This window comes from Homo sapiens, chromosome 12, assembly GCF_000001405.40.
Source record: "Homo sapiens chromosome 12, GRCh38.p14 Primary Assembly".
Taxonomy (NCBI): domain Eukaryota; kingdom Metazoa; phylum Chordata; class Mammalia; order Primates; family Hominidae; genus Homo; species Homo sapiens.
This window is the reverse complement of record NC_000012.12, coordinates 120805279-120827374: the sequence shown is the minus strand read 5'-3', so window position 1 is coordinate 120827374 and position 22096 is coordinate 120805279. Positions and strand designations below refer to the sequence as shown.

At 39.0% G+C, this 22096-nt stretch overlaps 1 protein-coding gene across 2 annotated transcripts in view, besides 1 other annotated feature; it reads left to right on the top strand.

Annotated features, from left to right (window-relative positions):
* Nucleotides 1-22096, top strand: part of SPPL3 (signal peptide peptidase like 3) — a 141849-nt gene that overhangs the window by 76984 nt on the left and 42769 nt on the right. For both annotated transcript variants that reach the window (NM_139015.5, XM_011537925.3), the window contains exon 2: nt 16489-16566. In NM_139015.5, coding sequence (NP_620584.2) covers nt 16489-16566 — 78 coding nt within the window. The remainder of the gene's footprint in view (nt 1-16488; nt 16567-22096) is intronic.
* Nucleotides 4418-4487: an enhancer, noted in NCBI's record as "active region_7150". NCBI's record gives its function as "activates an Ori minimal core promoter by ATAC-STARR-seq in GM12878 lymphoblastoid cells {active_cell/tissue: GM12878}" and the evidence as "EXISTENCE:reporter gene assay evidence [ECO:0000049][PMID:35858748]".

The following is a 22096-nucleotide window of genomic DNA, read 5'->3' as shown; positions in this document are numbered from 1 at the left end:
ATTATTATTATATTATTATATTATTATTATTATTATTATTATTATTGTTCCTGTTATTATAGCAGCAGTTATATTTCTTGGTCTCATAGGCCTTTCAAATAAGTTTTGTCTGGCTTCTTGGATAGTTTTTAAAGAACTACTTCCCTGTTAAGGGTATTTCTCATGTTTATTATATAAAGAAGTTCAGATAACTTTTGTTTGGCTGTTTGTGGCCCCCCTATATAGAGGAAAACATAGTTTGGAAAAATCTTTAAAACCCACACTTTCAAAATACTGTGATTTAAACTCTAACCAAGAATTTGACTCCTGCTAAGTCAAGTTTCCTCTGAAAACATTCTCGGGGTTGGTAGAAATCACCAACTGGAGAACAGAGTCCAGCACCCTTTACAGCTACCAAATAAAAATAACCTCTTCCAGTATATGACTTTTAAATTTTGACACTCATTTTATGAATGTCTCAATTTTGTCAGGATTAATTAGAAAATTCATAAATAAAATCACCCAGGGCATCTCATTGTTATTTTAGTTTCAAACAGTAGATTGTATTGGTGTTTTCTCCCCTCCTGGAGTCCTGGACAGCAGGACTCCAGGTATAAACTTAGGTGAAAACTCCAAGACATTATTTAATGTGAATCTTTTTAGAGAAGCTAAAGATCAAAGACCTTAGTCATTGATCCTTTGTATATACTTCTGAAAAACGAGGGTATTAAATATTCTTCTTATTGCTAAGGCCAGAGACAGCTGAGTGTCTGCTTTATGGAGCGATTTTGCAGAGACTCTTATCACTTACTAGGCTGTGTAACACTGAACAGGTTTCCCCTGGCACTGTTTGGTGGTGCTGTTTGGGCTTGCTGTTAGGTAAGCTTTAGGCCAGGTGGAGGTGATCCGTGTCAAGGGTTCTGCCTTAAGTTGTGACCTCTAACTGTCTCTGCCACATACATGAGTGCCTAAATTGGGATTTCGATGCCCAGTCAGGTATCCAGCACTGTTAGAGGGCAAGGCAGGTAGGTCTAGGTTTGAGTTTGTCATAACCCATGGAAATTTTGACTCTTGCCCTGCTTTCTTTTTTTTTTTTTTTTTTTGGAGACAGTTTCAATCTTGTTGCCCAGGCTGGAGTGCAATGGTGCAATCTCAGCTCACCGCCACCTCTGCCTCCCAGGTTCAAGCGATTCTCCTTCCTCAGCCTCCTGAGTAGCGGGGATTACAGACATGTGCCACCATGCCCGGCTAATTTTGTATTTTTAGTAGAGACAGGGTTTCTCCATGTTGGTCAGGCTGGTCTCGAACTCCCAACCTCAGGTAATCCTCCTGTCTCAGCCTCCCAAAGTGCTGGGATTACAGGCGTGAGCCACTGCGCCCGTCCTAACTCTTGCCCTGCTTTCATTCTCTTGACCAGTGAGTGTGTCACCAGAGATAGACACCCTGGACAAAGAGAGGTCCCATTAGTTCTTCTTTCAAAATATAGTTTGTGACTATAGCACCTCCTCTTTCCACTTCGTACTAACCTAGACTTGATCACCTCATGCTTAGATTATCATAAGAATCTTACTTGGTCTCCTTGATTCTAGTCTCTTCTGCCCAATTTATCTACACTGAATATTTCTGCCTGACTGATTTTCCAAAAATATTATAGACTCTTATGATTTTTACTCTACTAGTTGAATAAAAGCAATGTTTTCAGGTGACGTTAAAACTCCAGCAGCTAAAATCCTGCTAACAAACCTTGACTTCAAGTACACCATAATTTAACCCCTCTGTAAACAGAAGCTGATCTTGCAGTGAGTCTCTCTGGAATTCCATTCTTCCGTAAGACAAGCGATATTTGCTCCTGTTGATATTCCTGTGTACATGTGCCCTGTTACTAGAGAGTTAAGATCATGACCTTTATTCTTTTGGGATTTGTTTTCTCACCTCCACTCTCTTTTCTCTCTACCAAGCCAAACTCCTTTCAGGTGCTCAATAAACAGATGCTCTTTAGTGTTTCCTAACTCACAGAAAAATTTTTCTCTGAATACATCAGGTCTGTTTGATAACAAATTCAGTTAACTGAATTGGGGCTGCTTTTGCCATAATTTCCTTTTTAGTGTGTCAGGCTTGTTTTTTCAAACTAAATAATTGGCTGGATTATATAGTTTTTCAATTATTAATTTAGTAAAACTTTATTATTTTGGATTTAATGAATTAAAATTTGTGAACATTGTTCTGGATCAAACTGACATTATGTAAGTTTGGATCTGTCCTTTTTTTTTAAATGAGTTTAAGGTGTTAGTAATTAAGATTCCATTTGTGTTATAAATATAATGACTATCCAGTAGACTTAAGGTAGTGTCATATAAGGAAGGGCACACTATGAGAAAGGGACTGGGGGTGGGGGGCATGTTTACCCTTTAACATTTGTTCCATTCCATCTGCAGTTAAGCTTTCTAGAAATATGTTGTTACAGTAGCTACTTAAGTGTTTTTAAATTGTCTTTTCAAATGAATAGGGCATGGAAGTTTGTTACTCTTTTCTGTGTGAAAAACAGTGTCAAAAGTTTAAGAAGGCCAGGCAGCTTCACGCTTGTAATCCCAGCAAGTTGGGAGGCCAATGCTGAAGGATCACTTGAGTCTAGGAGTTCAAGACCAGCTTGGGTAATATGGCAAAACCCCATCTCTACAAAAATTGCAAACAAAAAAAATTAGCCTGATGTGGTGGCATGCGCCTGTCTCCCCAGCTACTTAGGAGGCTGACATGAGAGGATCACCTGAGCCCAAGGAGGTCAAGGCTGCAGTGAGCCGTGATCATGCCACTACACTCCGGCCTGGGTGACAGAGTGAGACCTTGTCTCAGAAAAAATAAAAGTTTAAGAAAACCATTGTATTTAAATTGGGCTCTTTGAAAATTAAATTCTGCTATAGAACTTACTCTGTAGTATTACTTGTTAAATTCTATATCCGACTGAAGAACACAAGCTTTTAGTATTTAGTATAAGTGAAAAATATAGCCAAATCAGACATCACTAACACTTTTTTGTCTTTTTTGCTAACGTTTCCACCAGAATCCTGTGTTCCATTAAAAAAAAATTTTAGTGTTATTTTAAAAACTCAAATAATACAGAAATGTGAAATAGTCCCATTTTTAATAAAAGTGGTTTTATGTGATACGTAGGTCTTCAGCTTGCTTCTTCCTAACAATTCTTCGTGCCATTCTTTTAAATTTCTTTGTGGGCTGGGTGCAGTGGCTCACGCCTATAATCCTAGCACTTTGGGAGGCTGAGGCGGGCAAATCACAAGGTCAGGAGATCGAGACCATCCTGGCTAACACCGTGAAACCCCATCTCTACTAAAAATAGAAAAAATTAGCTGGGCTTGGTGGCGGGCGCCTGTAGTCCCAGCTACTTGGGAGGCTGAGGCAGGAGAATGGTGTGAACCCGGGAGGCGGAGCTTGCAGTGAGCTGAGATTGCGCCACTGCACTCCAGCCTGGGCGACAGAGTGAGACTCCGTCTCAAAAAAAAAAAAATGTCTTTGTGATAGAGTGAATTATATAAAACACAATGACTATAGTAAAACAAATAGGTTAATTCACCCCACTATGTTTCTGTTTTTTCATCTGTACAAAATGGGGATCATAATGGGAAGCTCTTAGGACAGTGCTGGGCACATGACTCAGTAAAAGATTGCTGTTACAACTTGGAAAAGGGAATCATCAGCCTATATAGATGATAACCAAAGGCATGAGAGTAGACAGTATCACCCAGAGATGAGATGTGGAGTAAGAAGTAAAGAGAACTGATGACAGAGCCCTGATGGGCAGAGGAGAAGGAGAAAATACGGAGCCAGAGAGCAGGGAAGAAATCCAGTAGGATGTCGTGGGAGCTGGGATAAAATTGTTTCAAGAAAAGGAAGTGGCTACTGTTGTCAGATCCTGCAAGGGGAGCGGGGATATCAAGTAAGATATTGACTGAAGTGTTACTAGATTAAGTAACAACAAGATTGTTGATGATCTTGGGGAGAGCAAATTCCATGGAGTGCTGGGGATAGAAGGCACAGTGTGACAAGGAGATACCAGTGAAGACGGCAAATACAGCCAGATCCCTAGCTTTGGTAGCCCTATGTGAACTGGCCTTTCTTCCTTTTGTTCTCTGTCCTCCCCGCCACCGCCGCCGCCCCCCCACCCCCCACCCCCACACACACACTCTCCGTCTCTCACAGACACCTTTGTGGGAATATGCTCTAGCTCTTGCTTTTTGTCTCTTGCACGCATGATCACTCACTCTTGCTCTCTCCTCTCTAGCCCAACTGAACTGCTTGACTACTTTGTGAACTCCCAGCAGGTCGCACTGTCACATAGGCCTCCATGCTGAGTTCCTACACCTGTCTGTTTAATTTGGCAACCTGTTTACTTCTTTTTGTCTCCCTGTTAGGCAATTCTTGGTGGGTGGTAGGGGCTGAGTCTTTATCATGGAGTGCTAGTACCTAGCAGAGTCCTCATGCATGTGGTGATACATAAGATAGGACAGAACAGTGACCAGAGGTATTTATTCTAGTTGGAGCTTGTAACAGACATTAGATACTGCAAGATGATGGAGAGATTTGGTTTGATTTTTAGATGTGTTGAATTTGAGGTGACCGTGGTATATGCAGGTAGAAGTGTGCCCCCAGGGTCATTGGAGATTTGCTACTGAAATTCAGTCTGTCTAATCCCTCCTTGCTCTGGGGCTCAAGAGACTTTCCTTCTTCAATTTTTTCATCATCCCAGACAGAAACCCTAGTTTGTCCTGATAGAAGTAAGGGATGAACTGTGATTTAAACTCTTAGGCTCCTGTTTGCTTGTCCACAGAATTTGTCACTAGGAGAGGTTAGCCCCCAGGAAATAACTAAATGTCAATCTGTAGCATTCATTTTTAAAAGTCACTGGAAATTTTCTTCTTGAAGTTAGATTTTGGAATTGTAGGGATGCTTTTAAGACTTCGTTTCTAGAATCATTTCTAAAACTATTATCAGCATTAAATGGCAGGGAATAATCTTTTAATGAAACAGATACAGTAAAAACCAGTTCTTTTAGAGGTTAAGAGCAGTTTTTAAAATTTTCCTTAAGTTTTATAAAAGTTGTTATTGTAAAATATACATAACATACAATTTGAAATTTACCATTGAACTTTTTCTAAGTGTACAGTTCAGTAACATTAAGTACGTTCACTTATGTTTTGTGCAACAGTCACCACTATTCATTTCCAGACCTTTTTCATCATCCCAAACAGAAACTCTGTATGCATCAAACAAAAACTCCCCATTCCCTTTCTCTCCAGTCCTGGTATCCGCTATTCTGCTTTCTTTTTCTATGAATTTGCCTAATCTAGGTCTGTCATATAAGTTGAGTCATAACAATATTTGTCTCTTTTTTCTGGTTTATTTCACATAGCATCATGTTTTTGAAGTTGATTTATGTTGTAGCATGTATCAGAATTTTCTTCTTTTTTAAGGATGAATAATATTTGATTGGATGGCTGTACCACAATTTATTTATCCATTCATTCACCGATAGACACTTGGGTTACTTCCACCCAACCCAACCCATTATTCACGGCCCAGCCATTGTGAAAATTGGTGTACAAGTATGTTTGAGTCCCTGCTTTCAGTTATTTGGGGCAAATACCTAGGCTTTAGTAAGTTTTATGAGCACATATCCTGAGAGGGTATTTAGATATCCAGTAGCATTTTTCTTATGAAATAGTAATTTCAACCAGCATGTTAACATAGATTTTTGCAAGTTTTTAAGGAGATTTATTTTGTACAAGTTCTAAAGCAGTCTTGGATCATGATACAAAGATACCTTCAAAAGCTGTATTATAATTTTTTTTTTCTGTAAATAAGTCCCTTGGCCAAATAAAAATGCAAAACTGCTTTATCCAGCTTGTACCTATTGGCTTTGTCCGAGGAAACCAGTTGCCTAATTTCTTTCCCTTGCCTTATGTTTGCTGCAGCCAGCCCAGGGCTGTTTCCGGCTGCAGTGTTGAACACAGGAACCACAGTGTGTTGCTGGTTGTGTGCGCAAGTCACAATCAAAAGCGCATGCTTTGGAAACTATGATGTGAGGACCTGTCTTAGAGGATAATTCATAGGAAAAAGTTGAAGCATATTGCCATCGAAGCCTTTAATGTGGGGTCTTCTTTCTGTTTCAATCCCTCTCCCCGCCCCCGGCAATAAATCCTTTCTTATCTATCCTAGGCAATAAGATGTATTTGAAAACAAAATTACTCCAGATCATCTTTACTGCCTTGAAGACTAATACCTTTCTTTCATATGAATTTGCTCAGTCAGCAGATTTTGTATCTCTGATGGAAGTAATCATTTTTTCATTGTATTAGTCTTGGTAAAATATAAAATATTAACATATAGTATATTTCATATATGTCTTTCCATGAAATATTTTGTGATAATGCAGGGATAATATTTTGATATTTTTGTGGAGGTGGGATCTCCATATGTTTTTCAGGTTGGTCTTGAACTACTAGGCTCAAGCAATCCTCCTGCCTCAGCCTCCCAGAGTGTTGGGATTACAGGCGTGAGCCACTGCGCCCAGCCTTAAGTAACTATTTTATTTACTACTTGTACCTTGCACGTAAATGGTTAAATTTAATGTATTAAATTTTTATTTCATAACATACCTATTCTGTTATTAAGCTTGCAATACATATTTGGTTTTTTCCTTTAAAATATGGGGAAATGTGGAAAACAATGATCTCCAACATTATAATGTTAGACTAATATTTTTAGATAGGCCGGACACAGTGGCTCACGCCTGTAATCCCAGCACTTTGGGAGGCCGAGGCGGGCAGATCACAAGGTCAGGAGATCGAGACCATCCTGGCTAACACGGTGAAACCCCGTCTCTACTAAAAAATAGAAAAAATTAGCCGGATGTGGTGGCAGGCGCCTGTAGTCCCAGCTACTCAGGAGGCTGAGGCAGGAGAATGGCGTGAACCTGGGAGGCGGAGCTTGCAGTGAGCCAAGGTTGTGCCATTGCACTCCAGCCTGGGCGACAGAGCGAGACTCTTGTCTCACAAAAAAAAAAAAAAAAAAAAAAAATTTAGAGAAAGATACAAATTAAGTCCTATTTCAACATATTTCCATAAAGGGAAAAATGAACATTTCTGTAAGCATGGAATACAAGTTTTTTTGCATATAATTTTTAAATTTGAAATTTTGGATAGCAAAAAAATTCTAACAACCTTTGGTGTTTTGTGATCTGTAAGAATTGCATGTGAGAAGGTGTTAGCAGTTTGCATAGCCAGAGCTTATGGGTAAAGGTAGAAGGCAGCAATTCCCGAAATGTGGCTCATGGACCATGGGAGATTCCTGAGACCCTGTCATGGGGTCCATAGGGTCATACGGTTTTCATAGTACTACTAACATTACTTGTCTTTTTCATTTTCGCACCTTTTTTCTCATGGTGGCAAAGCAATGGTGGGTAAAACCTCTGGTGCGCCCTCACCTGAATCAAGGCAGTGGCACCAGGCGGTCCTGGTAATCATGGTGTTCTCCATCACCAGGCACCCAGCTTATCTTCTGAAATGCCATTTACACTTAGAATGTTCTTGACGAAGCAGTAAAAGTTTCTTTTGTTAAGTTTTAACCCTTGAGTACACTAAGTGATAAAATGGAAATTTTTAATGATAAAATGGAAAATTTCCACAAAGCACTTCTGCTGTATTCCAAAGTACCATTGGTTATCTTGAGGAAACCACTTGTGCAGTCATTTGAGATGCTAACTGAACTAGATTTGTTTAAAATTGGAATACCATTTTTACTTGAAAGAATGACTTTTGGGCATATTTGGCAGATAGTTTCTCAAAAACGAATCAAGTGAGCCTGTCACTTAAAGGGAAAAAAAGTGTTTTTATCAATGATAAAATTTGAGCTTTCAAGTGAAAATAGAATTTTTGAAAATTTGTATTTGCTACCATAAGCCCCAAGAATGGTACTAACAATATGATTTTTCAGATATTGTATAATGAAAAGAGACAACATCTGGAAGAGCGGCATAACTCAGCAAATCAGTATCTTCCAAATTACCAATGCATGATGTTACAAAATCATCCATGGGTAAAAGATTCACACAAAGTTCAGGATAGTCCAGTGGATTTTAATGTAATATAGTAAAATTCAAAAAAATCCATTGAGATAGTTTCAAATTCCACATTGCAGTAAACCTTTAAGAAATTACCACTTGTTGAATTTTAGTGTAGTATCAAAGAAGAATATTGATAGTTATCTGAAAAGGCTATGAAGTACTCCTTCTTTTCCAACTATCCATCTGTGTAAAGCTGGATTTTTTTCCCCATGGAGTTCAGTTCAAACAACATATGACAGTAGATGGAATGCAGAAGCCGATATGAGAATCCAGCTATCTTCCATTTAAGCTAGACATTAAAGAGGTTTGCAAACATGTGAAGAATGTTCCTTGTCTCGCTTAATTTTTTTGTTCTGTTTTGTTTTGGAAAATAGATATTTGCCCTTTAAAAAATGTTATTTATGTTAACATGTAATGGTTTTATTGTGTATAAATAATATTTTAACTTTTTCTCAGTTTTAATTTAATACGGTAAATATCACTAACCCACATGTGCTAAAGCTCTTTGGGAGTCCTCAATTTTAAGAGTGTAAATTGTTCTGCAACCACAAAGTTAGAGAAGTGCTGGTCTAAGGCAATGTCTGTGCAGTGTTAGAATAGTAGTTGCTTGGTTTTGGGGTGGACAAGAATGCTTTCATTGTATAGCTGGAAGGCTGACACATAGAACACGTTATAGAACAGTACTCTCTGTGTCTCAGTTTGGCATGATTTTTAGCAGGATATGTGTTATAAGCACTTGCTGGTAAAGTAGCTAGAAATAGATGTTTGACTGTAGAGCAGTTACTAAAATCCAGCATGGTTCTAAAAATCTTAGGGTTTAGAGTTTAGTCTTGTATATGAGAGACATTTCTGGTAACTCTTTGTCTATTAAGGTAAAGGCTTGCAGGAATGTAGTTAAAGAATTAGTGGTCTTCATAATGAATATATAAAATATTTCAACTCAACAGCTGGCCTATACTGATACATCAGTTGACAAAGTCTTCAAGACTGTTTTCAATACATTTGGCTAACCTGATTTTGGTGTGTCTCAAATGCATGTATTTAGTTTCTTTCTGTGTTTCAGTAAGAATTCCTTTATCTCAGAATAGAGTAGTTCCTGTCTTTCATGTCCGCCCAGAGCCTCTGGGAACAGACACCTCAGTAGGAGGGCCTGAAGAATGACACATTTCTGTTGATGCTTTGGTAGAGTCTGAAATGTAGGATAGGGAGAGACTGTGAAATAAGATTGCTGGGCTTTGATTTCCTATTATTGGCCAGACTTACCCACCCTTTTTCCTTGGAATACCTTTTCTTCCCTGTCTGCTCCATTGATCGTAGTCTTACCCCAGATCCCCAAACCCCAGCTCCTGTAGTAAAATCTGTGTCTATTTCTGAAATGCTGATGAACGCTTGCTTTCTTTGTGTGGGCAAAGAACAGAATAGAGGATGATACAGGAGGGGCCCTTTTCCTCCCTGTCGTTACCAGCAGTGAAAACCTTTAGACATTTTTGAAACCGCTCTGTGCTCATTTTTATGAGCTTGTAGAGTAGGTGAAAAGTGAGCCTACTTCAGGAGACCAAGGGCATAAACAAATATGGGATAAAGCAGTCTAGCAGAGGGAAAATGAAGAGTTTGTAAATTAGCCTTAAGGCTGGCCACATTTTTTAAAAAGACCCTAGGGAAGAATTTCCCATGGGTTGAATAAACGAACCAGAGTTGCTACCCAGGGTAAGATGATGGCTTACCTTCATATATGTCTACTGGTATAATGTAAGATTTTATATTAAGCCATTTTTAAATCTGTAAATATTGGGTGATTAAAAGAGGAAAATACCAATTTTAGTCACCTGGAAACAGGGTCATCTGTGGCAGTGCCTCTTTGGCTATGTCAATGATGGGCAACATGAAAGATGGAAAGAGTATTTCTGGTAATATTTCTGTTTTTGAAAGCAAAACAATATAAAAATACAGACTTTTTAAACTTTTTTGAGACAGGGTCTCGCTCTGTCACCCAGGCTGAAGTGCAGTGGCACGATCATGGCTCATTGCAACCTGAAACTTGTGGGCTCAAAGGATCCTCCTACCTCAGCCTCCCAAGTAGCTGGAACTACAGGCGCGCCCCACCGTGCCTGGCTGATTTTTTTTTTTTTAATTTTTCATAGAGTCACATCTCATTTGTTGCCCAGGCTGGTCTTGAACTCCTGGGCTCAAGTAATCCTCCCACCTCGGACTCCTAGAGTGTCAAAATTACAGGCATGAGCCACCACACCCAGCCAAAACCTAGACCCTTGAAAAATAAAAATTAATTTGGCCTTCAAGTTTATCTGGGCCCAAAGAGGATTTTATAGGTAATAGAAAGATATAAAGGATTGCCCAGGGAGGATTACATAGCTAATTACTGTATAATTACAGATAGAAACTTCAGTTTGTCATCCAGTTTTGGGCAGATATTGAAGTCAATTTGAGAGACTCTGGAATTAGGCCTCCTAAGATCAGAAGTGCATCTGGCTCTTGATCTTAAAAAACACTAATAATCACAGAGATTCACAGTTCTCCAGCCCTGGGCAACATTGTGAAACCCTGTCTCTACAAAAAATACAAAAATTAGCAGGCTGTGGTGGCTCACACCTGCAGTCCTGGCTGCTTGGGAGGCTGAGGTGGGAGGATTGCTTGAGTCCAGGAGTTGGAGGTTTCACTGAGCCAAGACCGTGCCACTGCACTCCAGCTTAAGCAACAGGTGAAACCCTGTCTCCAAAAAGAAACAACAACAAAAACTTTTATAATGATAGTTTGAATTGAAAATAGTATATGAAATTTCAAATAACATCGTAAAATAATCTATAACTTCTAGTTATGTGATATTTGGTAAAGTTTGCCAAATTGTTAGAACTTTTTAAGATCTTAGTATAAATTATAAAATACCATGTACAATATTAGGGGTGAACTTTAATCAGATTTTCTTGTATAGGTTTATTTGAAAGCTAAAACAAAACTTAAGTTAGAAGAAACCATTAAACATCTGAACAGTTTTTTTGAAATCAGGCATTTAGTTCTGCAGTGGGGGACATGCTCACTGCCAGGATATGGAGGTGAGATCTGGCAACCTTAGTCACACTCTTATATTTTGCACATGGTCAAACCTTCATCTAGAAAAACAGACTATGAAGAAAGTCAGTAGCTACAGCTCCTCAGAGGCTGGAGCACAGCACAGAAGATCTGTCAGGGAGGAGCTGGTTTTTGAAAATTTAATCCAGGCCAGGTGTGGTGGCTTACGCATGTAATCCTGGCATTTTGGGAGGCTGAGGTGGGTGGATCACCTGAGGTCAGGAGTTTGAGACCAGCCTGGGCAACGTGACAAAACCCTGTCTCTAATAAAAATACCAAAAATTAGCTGGGCATGGTGGCGGACTCCTGTGATTCCAGCTACTTGGGAGGCTGAGGCAGGAGAATTTTGCTTGAACCCAGGAGGCGGAGGTTGCAGTGAGCCGAGATCGCACCGTTGCACTCCAGACTGGGCGACAGAGCGAGACTCTGTCTCAAAAAATAAAATAAAATAAAATAAAAATTCCAGACTTCCAGAAGTCTGAGGTTAAGAGTTTCTAGAGAGTCTCCATTGATTTGAGAGATGTAGCAAAATAATTAAACAATAGTATCAGACTTTAAGGCAGTGAATTTGGGAAGTGTAGATATTTAATCTGCCTTGAGGGTAGTGACAATATGCTTCAAAATACAAAGGATACAAAAACAAAGTCATCCAAGTAAGACACCATCAGAAGAAAAGTTCCTCAGAAGAAAGCCGCTCTTGTTTTTTTATAGCTCTGGAGTCTGGAGAAAACTTTAAATTGCCTTTTAAAAATACCTGCTGACCTTTAATCATAAAAAAGAAAAGCTGCTCAATCTCACTTTAATTTTTAAATTTTAATTACAATTTTAATGCAAATAAAAACCATACTGAGATACCAGTTTTCATCTCTCAGATGGGTAAAAATTCAAAAGTTAGACAATACTCACTTTGGAAAGTAGGAGCATTGAGTTCATTACGGATGAGAGTGTGAAATGGTATAACCTCTCTGTAGGGCACTTTGGCAACATCTATCAAATTGCAAGTGCATTTCCCCTTTGAGCCAGCAATCTGACTTTGAGGAATGTTATACAAACAGGTCATTTCATGTGTGTGCAATGCAGGTATAATTTACAAGGCCCATTATTACAGAATTACTTGTTAACAGCAGAGTTTTTGGAAACAACCCCAGTGTCCACCTGTAAGGAACTTGTTCTTAAAAAACAAAACAAAACAAAACAAAAACTGTGGGGCATCTACACAATGGACTATCATGCTGATGTTTAAAAGAAAATTTTAAAAAGGAAGTTCTCCACATCCTGATACAGAAAGATTTCTAGGCTATATTGTAAAAGGGGGGTAGAGGGAGATACTGAGCAGTATATTTAATATTCTACCTATTTCATAAGAAGTGGTGAGAAATAATGTTCTTATATTGTATGTTTACTCCAAAAGGCTAGATAAGAAACTAAAAAATGTGGTTATTTAAAAGTTGTTATCTAAAAATGACTGAGAGGGTGGGGGTTGGGTGATGACTAGATGGGAGTAAGACCTCTGTGTATGTACTTTTTAATATACTTTTGATTTTTGTATGAATATATAACCTAGTCATAATTTTTTTTAATTTTAAGAAAATGTTCCTTCTTGTTTTCAGAATTTTGGAAGATGTGTGCAAAGATTATGTCACACAGCAAGAAACATAATTTTAGAATAAAGAGAAACTGATGAAGTTCATTTTCCTAATACATGATACATGATAGCTCAGATATCTCTTGGTATGTGAGCCTTGTCTACATAATCTGGTTGTTCAAAAGAGGACCCTGGACAGCCACAGCTGCATCATTGCTGGATGGGACCCAAGAGAGAGGCTCGAGTGGCCTTCATGTCTCCTACCTTCCCTTTCTCCACTCCCCGGCTGACTGAAATTTAGGAAAAGGTAGCACCCCTGTGAGGTGCTGTGAAACAGAATTCATGATCCAAAACATATATTCTTGTATTCATCTGCCTCTAGTAGTTTTAATTGTATTCAAATTGTCTTACCATCTCAAAGCCTGGTGTGGGGGGAAGAGAGAAGGATACAATATACCTATCATTCCAGCTTCATAATTTTAAAAAGTCTACCTTTTTTTTGGTGTATCCCTCCCATGTTTTATTTTCTTAGAGTATTTTAAAGTAAATCTTAAATCATATTATTTCACCTGTTAAAAGATAAACTTATGTTTAACTTTTGGAGAGTTTTTTTGAGCAGTGTCTCATGAATCAGGCAGCACCAGATCACAAGTGGATCACAGCTCCTTGGAGGGGGCCTGAGGGCAAAACTTTTATAAAGCTTTTGCAGAAGCAAAAGAAAGAAAATACTTGATTGGTTAAAGTAGAAAGTCTCTAGTAGAGATTAGTTGGCAGTTTCTGATTGGTAAAGCCCCTGGTTAGGTTTGATTGGCAGTTTCTGATGGGTTGAGTTACTCTGAGTTGGATTTCAGTTGGCTTCCTTAGGAACCCAAGACACTGGAACCATCTCAGCCTAATGGACTCCCCAGTTCATTTTTTTTTTAACATACCCATAAATACTTCAGGTTGTATCTGTAATAATTAAGGATCACGCCGGGTGCAGTGGATCCTTAGCCTGTAATCCCAGCACTTTGAGAGGCCGAGGCGGGTGGATCACTTGAGGTCACGAGTTTGAGACCAGCCTGGCCAACATGATGAAACCCCGTCTCTTACTAAAAATACAAAAAATTAGCTGGGCGTGGTGGGGGGGCGCCTGTAACCCCAGCTTCTCAGGAGGCTGAAGCAGGAAAATTGCTTGAACCTAGGAGGTGGAGGTTGCAGTGAGCCGAGATCGTGCCATTGCACTCCAGCCTGGGCAACAAGAGTGAAACTCCGTCTCAAAAAAAAAAAAAAAAGCTGAGGATCCAAAAGCCTGCCATTATAGACCACAGCAGTGTCTCATGAAAGTTTATTATATGTCTTATTTTTTACAACGATTAAAGGAAATGTAATGTCCTCCTCTGTATGCATCAGTCTTTCCTCACGAGGTTAATTTCCAGTCAGCATCAGAAAAGGTTGAGCATCTCTCACCTTAAAAAAAAAAGATAATCTTTTAAGACCTCCCTTATCCTTATATTTACCCTCCAGCTGCCGTTCTTTTCCCTGCACTTTTCAAAATACTGTCTTCATTTCCTTAGCTTTAACTTCTCACCCAATTTCAATCTGACTCCATCCTCACCACTTTACCCAGTGGTCACTCCAGTTGTCTTTCTTGACCTCTCAGCAGCATTCATGGTTGGCAACGTCTCCCTCCTAATGCAGTGAGTGTGAATTGAGTATTTAATGTGTTATGTTCTTTATATGAATTCCTCATTTAATCCTTTAACAACTGTTTGAGGTTGTCATTCCCCATTTTACAGATGAAAAGCTGAAGCTTAGAGAGGCTAAGTAACTGGCTTAGCTACTAGTAAGTGGTAGAGCAAGGGATTAAATTCAGGCCACATTTAATTCTGCTGCCTTTCTGAAATAACCTACTATTCTGGGTTTTCCTTCTCTGTCTCTCTTTCATCTTGGTTTTCTTTGCAGTTCCTTCTTCTACCTGATCTTTCAATTTGGAGATTTCCCAGGCCTTGATCCTAGGTCCTCTTTTCACTGCTGTGAGGCATTCACACACACCTATGACTTCAGTTACCATGTGGAAGGTGATGAGCTCTCAGTATATATACATCTTCAGCTCAGAACGGTTTCAATATCCACTTGTCTCCTCAGTACATTCAAACCTTAGCTTAAAATCTGTTCCTCTGGCCAGGCGCAGTGGCTCACGCCTGTAATCCCAACACTTTGGGAGGCCAAGGTGGGTGGATTGCTTGAGGTCAGGAGTTGGAGACCAGCCTGACCAACATGGTAAAACCCCATCTCTACTAAAAATACAAAAATTAGCCAGGTGTGGTGCATGCCTGTAATCCCAGCTACTCGAGAGACTGAGGCAAGAGAATCGCTTGAACCCAGGAGGCGGAGGTTGCAGTGAAACAAGATCATGCCACTGCACTCCAGACTGGGTAACAGAGCAAGACTCTGTCTCAAAAAAAAAAAAATCTGTTCCTCCTATGTTACTTTTTTTTTTTTTTCCACTAAATGGTACAAAGCCAGCTAAGCAGAAACCTAGGGATCACTGCAATTCTTCCCTCTGCTGGTTCCCATAAACAATCACCAGGTCCTGTTTATTGTGTCCTGTGTCTCTCTAAATCATCTTCCTCCCTAAGGAAAGCTCCCCTGTTCTTAGACTGCATCTACCTAATATACATTATCATAGTACCCTATACTTCTCTTTCTCTCTTTTGTAACATTCTTCATGATTATATTCATTCAGTTATGTTCATTTTTTTATTTCTTTAGGGTGAAATTGTTCATTTCTTTAGAAAAGACATTTAGGCAGAGACCAAGGCACTCTTATTTATTACTGTATATCCCAGTGGCTAGCAGAGTGCCTGGCATGTAAGCAGTATTAAATACTTTGCTGAATGGAAATTAAACAACAACAACAACAAAAAGCCTGCTAAGATTTGTTTTAGGAAAATCCCTGACAAATAAGAATGGGCAATGTGGAGGGTGAACTCATGGAGACAGCCTTTAAAACAATATTTCCAATAGCCGAGCCATAGAAGGGAGCTAACAAATTGGCAGTGGGATTAGGAGAAATAGGGTAGTTCGGGATGTGGAAGTAAGAGAAAGAAAGGGCTGTCAAGAATGCAGCAGATTTTTAGCTTTGGCAGCTGAGGGGATGGTGACACCATTCCTTGAGAGGATCAGCTAAGATGGAGAGAGTATTTGTGGTGGACTTGTTGACTTTGAAGAACCTCCTGTAGGCCATCTAGATGGAGAAAATCAATAGGCAGTTAGAAAAATGGAAACGGGGAATTCAGGAGATGCAGGCTTTACCTCATCACCGAGCAAAACCAGTAAAATACTATTAGAGATTGAAATGTAACTGGATAAAAGTCTGATTATTGAGACTTTTGCCATTGGCACAGATCTGGTAGATATTTTGATACTTTTTAAATTGGGGGTGGATGTTGTAAACATATACAGAGATGGGATTTTTACATTGATGTCATTTTACATGCCGTAAATATTTACTAATAATAGCTGTAAACCTACCAATTTATTCTTCATGTTAAACTAGCAAATCTCATTTTAATTGTGTTATTTTGTTAATGCTAATTTATACCTTTTTTCCTTCTTAAAGATAAAAACAAAGCTCAGTGGGGTTTATAGAACTCCATTAGACTGTAAGCTCCATTAGGACTCACTGCATGTGATTTAAATTTTTTTCCTCTTATTTCTCTAGGGCCTATTCCCTGGTGGATTCCAGTCAAGTGTCTACATTTCTGATTTCCATTCTTCTTATAGTCTATGGTAGTTTCAGGTAAGATATTCTCAAATGGGGTTGATACAAGTTGGAGGTGGAAGAAGGAAGCATTGCTCTGAAAGTGCTGGTACCAAAACTTACTCTGTGAAGAAAAACAGGACTTCGGCAGGATTTGACTCAGAATAGAGAGTTCTGCTATTTGTTCTTTAATTGGCTGCTGTTAAACACTTCTTCATTGTGCTTATGAGTTTAGCATGTTAATGCTTACATGTAAAAACTAATTGCTTAAAATGCTGGTTCTGAAATTAATCACCTAATGCACTCTTTATTAAGAAGGTTAAGGAGAGAGTCTTTGACAATGATTCTAGAGTCTCAAAGGGAACAAAGAGTTTAAATGGAAGGACAATTTGAAATATGAAAAAAAAACTACTAAATATCCATGTAATAAAATGACAAAGAGAACATTTCATTTTTTTTTTCTAACCAAAAATGAAAGTGTAGTCACAAAACTTTAGTAGGCTTACGAAGACCAGGGAAACCAAAGTAAAACTGTACCCAGGATGCTAATAAAGTTCTTAATCTTTGGCCGGGCACAGTGCCATATGCCTATAATCCCAGCACTTTGGGAGGCTGAGACAGGAGGATTGCTTGAGCCCAGGAGTTCAAGACTAGCCTGGGCAACATAGCAAGACCCCGTCTCTACAAAAAATATTTTTTAAAGAAGTTAGCCAGGCATGGTGGTAGTGCCTATGGTCCCAGCTACTCAGGAGACTGAGGCAGAAGAAGGATCACTTAAGCCCAGGAGATTGAGGATACAATAAGCTATGATCACACTGCTGCACTCCAGCTTGGGCAACAGAGCCAGACTATGTCTCAAAAAAAAAAAAATTTTTTTATGTTGTCCTAAAATGCTTGTAAGTAAGTAGATTATGTCCTTATGGAAATTTACATCATATTTTTCTTAATCCAAAGGCTTGACATCCAAGGTTGAGCCATACAAAATTGCTGATGGTTGACTATTAATATTTTGGCCCACAGAAACAATTTCATATGGTTCATCTTACTATTAATAGGGTTGTGCCTTGTAGCATTACCAGGTATTCTCTCTGATAACCTTGGAGATGCTGAGACTAGATCCTGCTGAGGTTCTCATCTCAGCAGGCAGCCATAGGAATAGGAGGGAAAATATAGACACTAGAGACACACTCCCTTTTTCCACTATCCTCAGTCGAGAGGAACTTTAATGGTTGTATAACTCAAATAGTTTAGTGGCTGATGAACCTACCAGAAAATGCTGCTCAAGGAATTATAAGTTGAGAACTTGAAAGGAAGTAATAGGGATAAGTGAAATACCCAGGCGTAAAGATTTTTAACTATGCAGTGTTATATCTGAATTTTAATGGCTACTTTGTAAAATCACAGACTTGCAGTCTTTACCTCAATACTGAGTAGAACAAGTAAAATATTACGGGTAATTTCAGTATACACCGATAAAAGGTTTTTTTTGGTGTTTTTTTTTTTGAGACGGAGTCTCACTCTGTTGCCCAGGCTGGAGTGCAGTAGCATGATGTCAGCTCACTGCAAGCTCCACCTCCTGGGTCCACGCCATTCTTCTGTCTCGGCCTCCTGAATAGCTGGGACTACAGGCGCCCGCCACCACGCCTGGCTAATTTTTTGTATTTTTAGTAGAGATGGGGTTTCACCGTGTTAGCCAGGATGGTCTCTATCTCCTGACCTTGTGATCCACCGGCCTTGGCCTGCCAAAGTGCTGGGATTACAGGCGTGAGCCACTGCGCCCAGCCAAAAGTGTTAATCACTGAGATGTCTACTGAGAACTCCAGATTCATAACCACTCTCAGAAGCATTAATCAAACCAGAGGAACTTAGAACCTTATCAGTGTAATCTTGATATTTTGCATCTCTACCCTGTGGACAAGTATTTTATTTTTTTCCCTTTGAGTATATAATGCATTAATATTTCAAAGGACTTTGCAATTAAACACAGAAGAAGCCATCTTTAGACTCAACCCTAATACTACTTTCAGTAGTGCAGACTACCTTCCATTTGGCATATGTTTGTATACTGTATACATTTTCATAGTTGAAATCATTTATATTCTGATTCTTTGCACCAGACAAATACTTTCTACAAATTATCTTCATATCATTTTAGTAATTTGACATTTCGTTGTGTTACTCATCTTATTCCACTCTTGTTGGACAAGTGGACTGTTACAGTGATGATAGCTTTATGGAGTATTTGCTTTTATTGAATTATATCACCAAGATAAATATCCAGAAGTGGAAATACTTCGACAGAGAGTATGAAATGGCTCTTACTACATATTACTGTATTGTTTTTCTGAAGGGCTATATCATTTTAGGATTGAGCAAGTTTTAAACCAAATTTTATGTAATAAGTGTATCATAGAATTATATAGATGGAAAGGATTTCTCTGGTGAACCTCCCTGTTTACAAATGAGGAAACTGGCCAGGCATGGTCCCTCTCACCTGTAATCCCAGCACTTTGGGAGGCTGAAGCAGGCAGATGCCCTGAGCCCAGGAGTTCAAGACCAGGCTGGACAACATGGTGAAACCCCATCTACCAAATATGCAAAAATTAGCTGGGCATGGCGGCGCTACCTGGGAGGCTGGGAGGAATGTTTGAGCCCAGGAGGCGGAGGTTGCAGTGAGCAGTGATCATACCATTGCACTCCAGCCTGGGTATCAGAGTGAGACCCTGGTTCAAGAAAACAAAAAACAAAAAAAAAAAAAAAAGAAAAGAAACTAAGAAACTGAAGCCCAAAATGAAAATGTTGATGTAACTTGACAAAGATTATGCAACCACTTGGTAACAAAGTCTGGATTGAAACAGTTTTCAGGACCTCCAGCTCAGAACCTTTTATCTTTTATAATTTAATAAGGCATTTCTGCAAAAAGTAAATCATGATGCCTTTAATTATACATTTAAATTGAACTCACTGAATAAGTTGGTGTTTTTTCCTCTTCTGTTTTATGGAAGAGATTTATGTAATTTTGTCTTTAAATGTTTGATAGGATTCACCAGTGAAGCCACCTACAGTTGGGCTTCTCTTTGTGGGAAGATATTTTTGGTTTTTGTTTTTTTCCTGCTGAGTTTACCACCTTTCCCTTGTTCTTTTTCTTTCTCTTTTTTTCTTTTTTTTTTTTTGAGTCGGAGTTTCGCTCTTGTTGCCCAGGCTGGAGTGCAGTGGCGCAATCTCTGCTCACCACAACCTCCGCCTCCCAGGCTCAAGCGATTCTCCTGCCTCAGCCTCCCGAGTAGTTGGGATTACAGGCATATGCCACCATGCCCGGCTGATTTTTGTATTTTTAGTAGAGATGGTGTTTCTGCATGTTGGTCAGGCTGGTCTCGAACTCCTGACCTCGTGATCTGCCCGCCTCGGCCTCCCAAAGTGCTGGGATTACAGGCATGAGCCACCGAGCCCAGCCTCCCGTTTTCTTTGTAATTGTTAGGGGCTATTTTTTTTATTGTGGTAAAATATATATAACATAAAATGTACCATTTAAACCATTTTTTAGTGTACCCTTCGGTGACAGGTAAGGGCTTTCTGAAACGCATTGTCTTTTTATTATAGCCATTCTAGTAGTAAGGTGTGAAGTGGTATCTCATAGTGGTTTGGGTTGTATTTCCCTGATATTGGGATGTTGGAAAGTTGATGAGCATCTTTTCCTGTGCTTATTAACCATCCGTTTATCTTCTTTGGTGAAATGTCTAGTCAAAAATTCTCTCTCAGTCATATGATTTGCAACTATAAATTTTTCCCAGTCTCTGGCTTGCCTTCTCATTTTCTTAATAGTGTCCCTTGGAATATAAACATTTTAATTTTGTTAAAGCCACTTTACCAATTTCACGTTTTATGGATCATGCTTTTGATGATGTGCCAAAAGCATGATCCATAAAATGTGAAACTGGTAAATTGGTACATGGGTACAAGGATTTTCTCCTATGTTTTCTTTCTTTCTTTCTTTTTTTTTTTTAATGGAGTCTCGCTCTGTCGCCCAGGCTGGAGTGCAGTGGTGTGATCTCAGCTCGCTGCAAGCTCTGCCTCCCGGCTTCACGCCATTCTCCTGCCTCAGCCTCCCGAGTAGCTGGAACTAGGCACCCGTCACCATGCCCAGCTAATTTTTTGTATTTTTTAGTAGAGACGTGGTTTCACAGTGTTTGCCAAGATGGTCTCGATCTCCTGACCTCGTGATCCACCCACCTCAGCCTCCCAAAATACTGGGATTACAGGCGTGAGCCACCGCGCCTGGCTCTCCTACGTTTTCTTTAAGAAGTTTTATAGTTTTGCTTCTTACATTTAAAATTATGATTCATTTTGAGTTAATTTTTATGTATGGCATGAGGTACAAATTTAATTTCATCTTTATAAATGTGGTTATCCACTTGTCCCAGTACCATTTGATGAAAAGACTATACTTACCAGTTGAATTACCTTGGCACCGTTGTCAAAAATGCATTGCTGACATGGTGGCATGTACCTGTAATCCCAGCGACTCGCGAGCTAAGGTGGGAGGATCACCTGAGCCCCAGGTGTTTGGGGTTATGGTGAACTATGATCGCGCCACTGCACTCAAGCCAGGGTGACATAGCAAGACCCTGTCTCTTAAAAAAAAAAAAAAAATCGACCATAAAAGTAAAGATAGTTATTAGGTCTGGTCTGTATGTCTCTTCTTATGCCAGTGCCAATGTTTTGATTGTTGTCGCGTTTAAAGTAAGTGTTGTTCTTTTACAAATTTTTCTGGCTACTCTGGATCCTTTGCATTTCCATATAAATTTTAGGTTCAGCTGGTCAGTTTCTACCAAAAAAAAAAAAAAAAGCCTGCAGGGATTTCGATAGGCATTGTGAATCTATAGATCAGTTTGAGGAAAATTGCTATCTTAATGATGTTCACTTCCAATCCATGGATGTGGAATGTGTCTCCGTTTATTTAGATATTCTTTAATTTAGATGTTTTAGATATTCTTTAATTTCTATTAATAGTGTTTTGTAATTTTCAGTGTGCAAGGCTTGCACTATTTTGTTAAATTTATTCCTAAGTATTTTTTTACTTTTTGATGTTATTTTTGATGAATTTTTTTCTTCATTTTGGATTGTTCATTGCTAAGTATATAGAACTACAATTAATTTTTGTGTATTGACCTCAAATACTGTAGCTTTGCTGAACTCATTTATTAGTGCTGGTAGTTTTTTGTCTATGATTCCTTAGAATTTTCTGCACATAGGATGATGTGGTCTGCAAATAAAGGCAGTTTTGCTGCTGCTTTCAATTCTGAAAGACTTTGTCTTTTTCCCTTTTTCTCCCTTATTGTACAGTGTCGAATAGAAGTGCCAAAGGCACACATCCATCCTTGCCCTGTTCCTAATCCTTCAGGGAAAGCATTTCCCATTAAGTATGTAGTTAGTTGTACATTTTTCATAAATGCCCTTTATCAGGTTGAAGAAATTTCTCTTATTTCTAGTTTGTGGAGAGTTTTATCATGAATGGGTATTGGATTTTATCATGTGTTCTTATGCTTCTATTGAGTTGATCCTGTGGTTT